At 36.9% G+C, this 12,696-nt stretch overlaps 1 protein-coding gene across 28 annotated transcripts in view; it reads right to left on the reverse strand.

The window, feature by feature from the left end:
• The window catches only part of STXBP6 (syntaxin binding protein 6), a 240,694-nt gene that overhangs the window by 158,614 nt on the left and 69,384 nt on the right, over positions 1–12,696 (reverse strand). For 20 of the 28 annotated variants that reach the window (NM_001394420.1, NM_001394410.1, NM_001351940.3 and 17 more), the window contains one exon: positions 6,598–6,783. The exons of 2 other annotated variants lie outside the window; for them this stretch is intronic. In NM_001394420.1, coding sequence (NP_001381349.1) covers positions 6,598–6,751 — 154 coding nt within the window. In that variant the 5' untranslated portion in view covers positions 6,752–6,783. Of the gene's footprint in view, positions 1–6,597; positions 6,784–9,100; positions 9,177–12,696 lie in introns of those variants that run through there. 6 more of the 28 variants (NM_001351942.3, NM_001351943.3, XM_024449547.2 and 3 more) reach the window with 1 other exon arrangement.

The raw sequence follows: 12,696 nt of genomic DNA on the forward strand, positions 1-12,696 counted from the left end.
GGAATTAAATAATATAATATGCATAAGATGAATACTTTTAACTTTTATATAATTTTTAAAAATTTCTTAATTTCCGTAATATTCACTATTTATATAATAAAGAATATATATATATATATATATAAAATTATTGCAGTTGCTTTGCAGTTCCTTTTTCACTGCTAATACCTTTGTGTGCCTCTGACTTCAGTGTGAATTTCTTCGTTTTTCCTGGATAAAAACTCTTGAAAAGTCAACTTACCACTGCTGAATAAACCATTTCTACCAAGGTCAAATTTCATCTGTCTTGTCTCTTCCCTCTCTTCTAATATTTATAGACTTTGAGATGAGAGCCGGTCTGAATTAGAAAGTAGACAATTTCTTTCTACTTTCTACTTTTCTAATTCAGAAAGTCTGAATTAGAAAGAGAGAAACAGAGTTTCTCTCCTATGCCAGATCACTGACAATTAAATTTGGTTACCCTAATTCCAGTAACAACCTGTAAAGAATTTTCTCAAACCCTCATAAATGTGTAAGTGTTGATATTAACTACCTGGATTCTTCTCTACATGACATACATGAAATAAGAATGAAATTTGGTATAAAACTTCCATGGGGGTTCAGATCCCTAGAATCTCAGAACCCAAATAAACCTGAATCTTACTACTCTGAATTTTTCAACTGAATAAACTAAAGCCCAGAAAAATCAGATGTTTGACCATGGCCAGACAACAAGAAAGAAATTAAAGAAGTTTTTAATAAAATTGAGTATCAAAAATATATCATTATGTCAGATATCCCAATAAGACAACCCAGAGCATACCCCAGGAAAACAGTAAAACTTCTCAACCTTATCTTCAGAAGTTCTTGCACAACACTTTCAAAATACAGATTAGCTTCCCCACCAGCCCCCCGTGCTGCATTAGAACCAGGCCATCTGTACTTTGAGAAATTCTAGAGGGTTTTATAAGGAACACCTAGGGCTGCCAATCACTGAAATAAAGGGCAGTATTGGCAGGTTCTACGCTCCTAATACATGTCATTACCTTCCATGGGTATCTATTTACATAAATTATTTCATCAAAAAGCATTCAGAACTTTTTCCTAAAGAAAATTTTGCTCTCCCTACAAATCTAAAACCATTTTGAAAAGATTAAGATTTTCTGTTTCAACAAAACATGTAAAAGAATGTACTAATCACAAAAATTAAAGCTCCCACATGCTCCTTCTCTGGGGATGAGTAGCAGCCAAGGGAAGATTTTCACCCACTTATGGATATAAAGAGTAGCATCATATATTACACACACATAATTAAAACAGGATCCAGAAAATAGATTTTAAACATGAAATTACAGAATGTTTGGTAGGTAACTGATGTCTAATAACAAACTGATTTTAACTTAGCATGTTTCTAGTTTAGCTTTATAGACCCATATTACCATGGACAACTGACTATAGACATTGTTGTGGGTAGGGCTTGCTTTACACTTTGAATGTGTTAACAGTTCTAAGTTAGAAATAAAGTCTACACTATAATCAGGTATGTAGTAAACAAAAAACTCAAATACATTTTCCATTAAGCATCTATTGTCCCTATTGAGCAATGTGCTGGGTGCTATAAGGAATTTATCATATTAGCTCCAGTCTTTGAGCAACCTAATCCACATGAGTGAGCAAGAATGAAAAGATAGCACAAAATAAAGATTTTGTATGTAGACAGACCAGACACAAGCACAGGTTTAGATGATACACAGCTGCTTCTATCAGAGTGTTCAAAAAGGCCACTGGAATAACCTCTCATGCCTATAAAGGAGAGGATTAGTTTCCACCCACCTTAGGAGGTGCATGGAGATAATGAGGTTAATCTTTCCCACTAGCGACTCTGTAAAAGTGTTTCTAAAGTAATCAATTTCGGCCGGGTGTGGTGGCTCATGCCTGCAATCCCAGCACTTTGGGAGGCTGAGGTGGACGGATGGCCTGAGGTCGGGAACTCGAGACCAGCTTGGCCAACATGGTGAAACACCGTCTCTACTAAAAATACAAAATCAGTTGGGTGCAGTGGTGTGCGCCTGTAATCCCAGTTACTCAGGAGGCTGGGGCAGGAGAACTGCTTGAACCCGGGAGGTGGAGGTTGCAGTGAGCTGAGATCACGCCACTGCACTCCAGCCTGGGCAACAGAACGAGACTCCGTCTCAAAAAAAAAAAAAATCAATTTCATTGAAATTTATTTATATATAATAAAATACAACCACTTTAAGTGTGCAGCCTGATGAGCTGTCAAAAATGTATACACCTACGTAATCAACACCACAATCAACAAACAGAACACCTAACATCACTGCAAAAAATTGCCTCAGGCCCCTTCTCAGTCAATCCTGCCACTACATCTTACTTTTGTCTGTTCTAGAATGTCATATAAATAGAATCACATAGTATATTGATGCTTCTGTCTGTTTTTTTTTCACACAACATGCTTTTGAGATTCATCCATGTTGCTACATATATTGGTAGTTCATTTCTTTTTACTGCAAGGTAGTATTCCACTGCAAAAATGTAAAATAATTTGTTTATGCATTTAATATGTAGATGGGTATTTATTTCTGGGTTTGGGTTATTATGAATGAGACTGTTATAAATACTTGTGTATAAGTCTTTAGGTGGATGTATGTTTTTATTTTTTCTCTTGAGTATATGCCTAGGAATGGGGTGCATGTTTGACTATAAAAAACTGCCAAGTTGTTTACTAAAGCAGTCATATCATTTTTACATTCCCATCAGCAAAGTATGAGAGCTCAAATTGCTTCGCATGTTAACACTTGGTATTGTCAGTATTTTTAATTTTAGTCATTGCTGAAAAGAAAAAGCAGAAACCAATGCTTTAAGAATGTTAATCACAGAGGCATCTCAGTACATAAGCACTTGTATATATCATTCAAGAAGTCAATCAATCTGTGATTCCAGTGAGAAACACTCAAATCCTATCCCAAGACACCATAATGAACTGGAGAGATTATTTTTCTCCTTATAGAATTAAACCTAAATAACCCAAGAAAGATCATCTTATTTATCCCACTCCAGCACCTTTTTCGGATACCTCCAGAGGATATTTAAACCGCTCTGAAAATAGTAAGTCTTATGATCACAGACCTCTAACTCTGATCATAAAATGTACTAGATATTGGGAAAAAAATCACACAAAGAAAAGTTAGTAAGAGACATTGGATATATATGAAACACCCATGTCTAGATGCATATTTTGGCAAGCTTTTAAAGTAGTGATACTTCTCCCTTTTTTAAAATTTGATGCTTCATGCTGTTTCAAGAATGGTTAAAAATTATTTGCAGACATTGTCCTAATTTGGACAAAGTTTGCCAGTTCAAAATGAATAGCTGGTTTTCATCAACCAAACCACAATAGTTGAAGGGCCTGGCCTCCCAGAAGGTGTAGGCAGTTCACACTAATAGCAGGAAGAATATTTTCATTCCAGGGCTCAGCTTTCACTTCACAGACTCCTATGAGAGCTGAGCTACAAAGAGGTCCTAGACTGAATAGGAGAATAGGAGAAATTCAAAATCCTGCTTAGTTTTTTAATGAACCTGCCATTCCCTCTGCCTGGAATGCCCTCTCACCCACACAATCCTCTTTTCAAAACCAGTGAAGCCCTACTTTTCTCAAAACTCTTGGTTCTCCAAACCAGGCCAAATTCTCTGCATACATGCTTTCACATCATTGTATTTTTTTTAATCTTTCACAGTTTATAACTATGTTTATTTTAGTGATGGATTAATGTCTATTGCTACTTGCCCACCAAATTAGGTAAGATGCATGAATTCTTTTCATAGCGGTACCCACGGAACATAGAATGCTTGGCACAGAAAAATTCTTAATAAATATTTGACTAATTAATTGCTAATTAAAACATTACCTTATCAGGGATGTAACTGATATGCCTCTAAGCTTTGCACAAGTTAAAAAATAAGGGTGGCTGCTTCTTTGTCACTTACAAGAAACATCAAACTGCAAAAATCTTGGGTGTCAAAGTTGCCTGCCCTTCTCCTGCCCCCATTTCCACTACACTGTCTGCTTAAATGTCAGATCTACTTTATCAATCTATCCTCTCAAGATTCAAAACCATGAAAAGACTGAAGAACAAAAGATTTTCCTCCATTAGAATGCAACAAAAAAGCAATTGTCATAGTTTTGGACTTTAAACCTGAAGGTCTTGGTAATTTGCAAAGGAAATACAGTTATTCCGTAAGTCCCAGGTCATTATCTTCTATGGCAGGGGAAATGAAATGGTTATGCTATTTCACTGAGATGAGGCTGTTAGAGTCCCTATATCACTCTTGCAGGCTTCATGATCAAAATTAGGCAGACAACAGTATATGCCTAAAATGCAAACAACTATTCTTCAATTATACATAGGTACTAGGCAAAATTCAAGTAGCTTCTAGACCGTCTACCTTTCTTTCAACTACTCATCTATAAGAAATGTCAATGAAATATTGAGAAAATAGAGCTTAACAAAATTAGAATCACTAGGTATCCATACTAGGCCGATGTTCAGCTCAGCTCAAATGCAAATCAGTCTTTATTTAAGTGTATTCTATTCATTGTTTGCGTAAGCAGAACTGTGGAATCTAAATTTAAGAATATGAAAATATTTTTAAGACCTGGGCTGGGTGTGATAGCTCATGCCTGTAATCCCAGCACTTTTGGAGGCCAAGGGGAAATGACTGTTTGAAGACCAGCCTGGGCAACATAACAAGACCCCATTGCTACAAAAACTACAAAAATGGTGGTTTATCCCTGTAATCCCAGCACTTTGGGAGACCTAAGTAGGAGGATTGCTTGAGCCCAGGAGTTCGAGACCAGCCTAGGCAACAGAGTGAGAACTCATCTTTACAAAAAAATACAAACATCAGCTGGGCATGGTGTTGTGTGCCTGCAGTCCCAGCTCTTGGGAGGCTGAGGCAGGAGGATCGATTGAACCCAAGGAGGTCAAGGCTACAGTGAGCCATGGTTGTGCTACTACACTCCAGCCTGGGCAACAGAGTGAGACCCTGTCTCAAAACAAAACAAAACACACTTGAATTTCATTAACAAAATTCTAGGAAAGTATTAGGTGAGGCTACTTCTTTCTTCCACTTAGTCACTAGATATTAATTGAGGCCCTAGAATATGCCCGGCACTGCTTAGCGCACTAAAGAAATACAAATATCTTCTGACAATAACCCAATTTTTTTATTAACCTAATCCTTATTTGGAATAAACAGAAACCAATGTTTCAAGGTCAATTCTCTCACACTTATTTAAATAAAAGCTTTCTTCCTTTTTTTTTTTTTTTTTTTTTTTTGAGACAGAGTCTCACTCTGTCAGCCAGGCTGGAGTGCAGTGGTGTGATCTCGGCTCACTGCAACCTCTGCCTCCTGGGTTCAAGCAATTCTCCTGTCTCAGCCGCCTGAGTAGCTGGGAGTACAGGTGAGTGCCATCATGCCTGGCTAATTTTTTTATTTTTAATAGAGACAGGGTTTCACTATGTTGGCCAGGCTGGTCTTGAACTCCTGACCTCAGATGATCCTCCTGCCTTGGCCTCCCAAAGTGCTGAGCATTATAGGCATGAGCCACCGCGCCTGGCCCTTTGAAAAATAATTCTTACCAAAGTGCTATGTTCTTACTTCATTTTAATCTAAGACACAGTCTTAGAAATTTACATGTTCTTTCTGGTAAAAAGTTACTTTTACCCTAAAATAAATTCTGATAAATGATCAAAGGTTTAATTTTTTAAAAAGCTAGAAATGGGTCCAAAAACATAAAGTTTTATTCCCAAAACTACAATTGAAGGAAAGTTTTTAAAAAGATAAACTAAAATAAGCTTAAATCTTCCATCACTCCATACAAGAAATATTATCAGAAATATCACAAATGCTCCATGTGTTTAGATTAGCATCACCAATAACTCCATGAAAAATTTATCCAGATTTTATCTCAAAAATCTTAATACGAATCCATTGTAAATCCCACAGATCTCCTACAATCACAAACAGAAAGAGAAAGAAAAAAAAAAAACAAGATTCAAAGCTTAATAAAACAGATGCCTCTTCTTGACAAGGCAATGGCTGTCAGGCAAAGCAACGACTTGTGAACTGAATCAACCTCCTCACATTCCATAAGGTGCCAATATTTATCTTAAGACAAGTGATTACTGATTATTGGCAACTGTCTAGAAAAACAAAGCCAATGAAAGTCAGGCTGTGAGTAATGACAATTATTCAGATACCAGCAACTGTTCTAAAACGAGAATTCCAGAGGATAGCCCATTCTCTGTCAGTGTCCCCGTGAGGGCAAGTATGGACAAACAAGTCTGCGAAACATTTTACGAAAGCTCTTAATGAACTGGAAAATACACCCGAATTGAACTTCACTACCTTTCCAATACGCGGCAACCTCAAAAACAAGGTGTCACCAGTAAAGAGGAAGACCAGAAAAACGGGGAAAAGGAGCAAGACAGTGCAGACACCTACAAAACCTGTGAATGTAAACCTCCTGGATACCTCAGAATGAACTGTTTTAAAATGGAAGTTATTTTAATAATATTAATATCTGGTTCTCATTACCTGACAGGCAGATATAAGTTAAATATTCGCCTTGACCTCCAGTTGCCAAGAAAGGAATCTTTTTCTTTGTCCTCCTCTTGACTTGGACAGCTCCCAGCATCCTTTCATCAAGAGGTGCAAAAATTTCCTTGCTGATAGCAGATTTGGCACTCATTGTAGAACAAGTGAGGACAGCACGCAGTGAATCTTTTAAAGAAGGAAAAGAAAGGAAAGTTGGAATTGACAACATTGTAAGGGTTCATACAATAATCAGCAGCAAGTGAATTTGCAGGTGAAGTAATTTTCAATTTACAGTTTAATCTCATAATTGCTTGAAATGTATTATAGAAACATTAAAAGCAAGGTCTTCATATTTGTAATAACTATGAAAAAATAAAGACAAAAAGGGGGTACTTATTTACTTCCCAAAAATGTCAAACACAATATGAGATGAGTAGTACAAACTGGGATCTGGAAAGTTTGTTAATTACTACCCCAACTGCACCTCCCTCTAACTGGCAAGCAGTACCCACTCTATTCCTGTTCTGTAAGAAACATATTTCACACTTCCAGAATACAAGTCTTTCCACTGTCCAACAGTCCTTAGAGTCAAGAAATTCTTTATGCCCCTTCAAAATCTCCTTTAATGTAAATCCATTTCCCTAATTCCATTCATAATGGAAATAATTATATCATCTTCTACACAATAACTATACATGCAACAGAAGACCATTAAATTAATACCCTTCTTCTGCCTTTGATCACGCTAAGTAATGAATTCTTATTTATTAGCTTCTCCCAATGGGTTCTAGTTTGCAGTGCTCCTCTGCATCTAGTTACCATGCTCTGTACCCTTGACAAACACTCCACATTTTCCTTCAGCCAAAATGGATACATAATTCTAAAAACATATCTGACTAATGCTAAGTATTTTGGAAATGTTACCCAGCAGCTCCCACATGTTATGCTCCTCTGGTTAACTGGCAGTGGATGCCCAATAATTAAGAAAATAAAGCAGTATGACGCTGACTCACAGTGAGTTCCCCCCAGAACACACACATACATAGCCCCCATGTTATATTTAGTTTTCTAAAAGTTGTACTTCCCCAATGGTCTTAACTCTGCTTATTTATATCTATTATGTTCAAGTTCAATCTGAAATATTAAGCCTGTCATCCAAAAAGATTCTACAGCAACTTGAGTAAACTTTCTCCATTCCATCATCCTAGTCATAAATAGTCTGTGCCCTAATAATGAATAGATATTTGTTCAGGCAATTCAACAAATCAAAATTAAAGGCACAGAGAGGGCCCATGGGTTGGACATGCAGAGTATCAGAGATCCCGCATATGGATCAACAGCATAGCTATCTGCAGTAACACAGCTCAAAGAGTTGATCAGACTGCTGTAAAACTGAGCCAGCTGGTTACAAAAACACCTGCTATGTGCCACTTCTATGATAAGTATTAGAGATACAATAAATAATCAAGACATGGTCCCAGTTCTCCAGGAGTTGACTGCTAACTACATCAGAGGTTTCACTTAAATCCAGATAGTTTATAGTAAAAGATCACGGGATCATCCTTCCCAATGCAAGATTCACAAATGCTACCCACACAACTGTTTACCTGTAACCTGTTCACATCTATAACCTCCTGGTAGGAAAGTGATATATTAAAAAAGAACACCTTTCTAGTTAAAGAAATTTCTCCTAGTTTTTATTCTGTAATAGGGCAGGTTTTCTTAGTGACACAAGAATACCTATCTATACATACACAAAGAATATGTATCTAGATATCCTAGAAATTATAGATCTAATACCCACATCTACTTGTGCTCCAATCCCAACATTTTATCATCACCACCAGGTTCTTCATGCTGGCCAAGAACAAAATGACAACAGTGGAGGGGGACCTGTTTTTCAAATGCTGATCACTAACTGATACGGTATGATTTCCTACAAGTTGGCAACAGAATTTCATAATTTACCCCATGACTTTCCTAGGCAAGATGTTACAATTTATCAGGGACTTTTATTTATTTTTTTTAAAGAAAGAAACACATACTGGTTATTTTCTAGCTCCAAGGCCACTTGCCTCTCACTATTTGGGTACAGGTGAAAAAGAAAGCCAGTGGTAGCACAGTGGCTTCAAACCATTTGATAAGCAATGTAGAAAGCAAGCCAAAGTCCTGAGCTGACTGGGCGCTCTTTTTTTTTTTTTTTTTTTTTTTTTTTTGAGGCAGAGTCTTGCTTTATCACCCAGGCTGGAGTGCAGTGGTACAATCTTGACTCACTGCAACCTCCACTTCTCCGGTTCAATCGATTCTACTGCCTCAGCCTCCCCAGTAGCTGTGATTACAGGTGCCTACCACCACGCCCAGCTAATTTTTGTATTTTTAGTAGAGATAGGGTTTCACTATGTTGGCCAGGCTGGTCTCAAAACTCCTGATCTCAAGTGATGCACCCGCCTCGGCCTCCCTACGTGCTGGGATTACAGGCATGAGCCACCGCGCCCTGTCTCACCCGGTGTTCTCGGACCAGTGCCTTCCCAGCTGTCATGGCTTTTGCTTTTTCATCTCAGGTCCACAGTTTTCAAAAACTGTAGTTAAAAGAAAAAGAAAGCTATCATTTTATCATATAAAATCTGTCAGAAAAAGGAAAGAAAGAGATAATGTGGTTTTACCAAGCTTAGGAAATCCTGTTCTTTTTAAAAACTGGTGAGAAATAGAAATGACCTTTTATTTTTTTTTTAAATACTGATAGTCAGTGACCAAGAACAAGAGAGAGAGAGAGAATAGATAAAGCCAGTAACTTCTTCATGGAGCACAAGTTTTAGAATCAAACAAACTCAGGTTCAAATTTTAACTCCAACACCTAAGACTTATGTGATTTCTGGGTAAATCTCTTAAAATTACAGACCCTTAGTTTATTAACTACAACATAGAGATGTCTTCACCTACCTCCTGGAACTAAAGAATTAAATGAAACAATATATGCAGAACACTTATTCTGTTGCCTGAATAATTAAAAAATGCTTAAAAATGAAACATTTTTATTAATTCTCCTACTATGATATGAAAAGATAAAAATCCCTCTGAACTTGAAGAAATTGAGTAAATGCAGCAATCTATACCAAAGGTATTTGTAAAAGTGAAACCCAACTTTATTTACAAATCCTCACCTTTCTCACCCATCAGTGTGAGACCCTCCACCTACAGATAAACAGTCTCTTATAGGGATGGTTTTGTACTAAGTATCACAAGGATAAGGAATTTATAGGCATCACTCTTTAGGATACTCACTAGGAGATTATCAGATTCATTCTATGTGAAATTATCAAAAGTTTTTATTCAGGGCAATGACACTAACAGGACAGTGTGGAGCACACATGTATACATGTTTTTAATGTCACCCTGGGAATGGTAATAATGCACAGCAGATTAGATGGAAAAGAATCAGAAAGTAAAAGGGGTACTGTCATAACTTCATAGCAATAACTTAAGAGTATCCCAAATCTGATTGTATGTCTGAATTCAGCATGGAGAGCTTTTCAAAAACGCAGACCCCTGGGTCCTTCCTTTATACCCACCAAATTAGAATCCTGGGATCTGTATTTTAAACAACTCTAACTGGTTCTCATGCAGCCATGCAGTCATTCTGCCACCTAATTTAAATGCTCTGAGCCTAGAGAGGAGCTAAAACCTAGACCAGAAATGTAGTGATGGGAATGGAAAGGATGAATCATTTCAGGAGAGAATATAGGAAGACAATGCACAGGATTTTTTTCTCTCCATCTAAGCAGCTTTATCAAGCCTTACGTCTTAGTGTTGGTAAATCATTGTCCATCCCAAGGCTGAGAACCCACTGTAAGAAATTAAGATGAATATAACAGCAATGGTACACCAATGATCACTAGTTACTCCAACCTATATCACCCCATGGAAGCCTTTTCTTTTCCTGCTTCTACAGGTTGTAATTACAAAATTTTTCCATCCAAGAAACCAACCTACAATATGATTTGCAAGTCAAAGCAGCTGGTTCCCATAAGTGTTAGTTACAAAAAACTAATCACAGTTAGTTCTGATCTTCTCACTTTGTGCCATCACATCTATACATACCATTCTTGTTAATGCATGGCTACTGTAGTGTGATGCCTTTCCACTGCCCAAGTAACTAGGAAATAAGACCATCCTTTAGGTTAGGAGTTGCAAACTCAAATGACCTCAGAGAACAGGTAGATGAAGCGCATAAGCAAAGGGGAACAGGTGTAAGATGCAACATTTTTGGTTTCCAGTAGTGGAACTGGTATTTGTCATCTGTGGTCAGGAGACCAAGAGTAGTAGTAGGAACTGCAGCAAATTAAAAACCTCCATTGTTAAGGCATTCATTATCATGCAGGTAGTTCTAGGGAAGTATAGTCTACAGCCCTTAAATATTTTTCATGTGAGAAGAAAGAATCTCCTCTGGTAAGGCAACAGTGCCATCTATTTAGCTTAATACTGTTAGATAGTTGATCTAACTTCATTAACTCCTCTGTTCTGATCCCATGTTTAACATGCAATCCTCTGATCAAGTTTTGGCCTTGTGGCTGTGCCACACAATTATTCTAGACTATGTAACAATTATACTTCCTATTGTAAATGAGTAACCAAGAATTTTAGACATCAGTCTCATAAGCTAGTTAATGTGTCTCAACACTAAAGCAGATGCAGTCAGCATGCTGATAACAAGTTTCAGAGTCTTTGAAGTTAAGAACCAAGATGATGTCACCCTGGAAGACTCTGGGGGGAAAATCAGCTAGTCTTTCCTACTTCAACGGAACTTCAGTTTGGTGAACCCAAATAAGTTAGAAATAAGAGAAATAAGATTCTCTAAAATTAGACTTCTTTGCATTACCACTTTGTTTTTGAAATTCTACAAATTCAATTTTAAGTCCCACCTATAATGTTGATGACACTAATCATGCATCCAACTCAGAGTGTCTTTCTGGCTTTAAACCCATATACCTAGCTGTAGACTGAGCATTTCCACTGAGACCTAACCTAGACCCTTCCTTCTCCCTCAACCCTTTCAAATCCCCATAACGAACCAATCACCAAGTCCTGTGGATTTGATTTAATATTTCTAGACTAGCTTTTCTTCATTCTCACTTCCTCTGCCTTAGTTTGGGTCTTCACCATCCCCGGCCTGAATAATTTTGATGCTTCCTCTAAAGGACTCCAGTACTGCTCTTACTTTACCACAATCAGCCCTCTACACTGTCCAATGTCATATTCCAAAGGATGAATATGATTCAAGCTTAACTGTACTTAACTGCTTCTTCTCCATGCCTCAGCTATTGACAAAGAAACACAATAATCTTAACAAGGAAAAAGACAATTTTGTAAATGTTAAAATCTAAATGGAGAAATGTTAAATTACTTCCCTTAAAAGCCACAATATAGACATACTAAATGCTACAAAACAGATGTTATTATATATCACTAAACCTAGAAATCTAAAAATGTTAATTTTGCTCCAAAGTTCAAAAACTTTAACAGGTAGTCAGAAAATATACAAGCTTTTATGCAAAGAAAATCAATTTTATTTTTTCTGATGTCATATATTAAGATCAAGGAGATAATATGAGGCCAATTTAGCCCCTTTAAAAGTGTTTAAGAAAGAGTTACTGATTTTTAACAAAATGTTTACTTAGATAATGTTTCTCTTTGATAAGACAGTTCTCAAGTTGAAAGCTTTAGTCTTTCCATGGTATGTAGGCATGTGAATAAACAATAAATTAGACAAAAATTTTAGTCCACCAACCAGTTTTTCCATGTAATTCAACTACTACTCTTAACTACTAGTTCTTATAAGTAGATTCTAAAAAGGAAGTCAGATATGCTATTAGAATAGACAGGTAACTTTAATCTGGTGACAACATTTGAAGTCTTAAAAGTACAATCACTTCAAGTTCAATCACTCTTTATTGCTACAAACAAGGGCTATTGGATGGGCTTGCCATGGTGAGAAACCAGATGGGAATAGCAGACCAAGAACCCATATTTAAGGCTTCACAAGCTTTACAAAATTAGGGTAAAATCAATAGACATTCAGCAAATCCTCTAACAACATACTTA

Source organism: Homo sapiens, chromosome 14 (genome assembly GCF_000001405.40).
Source record: "Homo sapiens chromosome 14, GRCh38.p14 Primary Assembly".
Classification (NCBI taxonomy): Eukaryota; Metazoa; Chordata; class Mammalia; order Primates; family Hominidae; genus Homo; species Homo sapiens.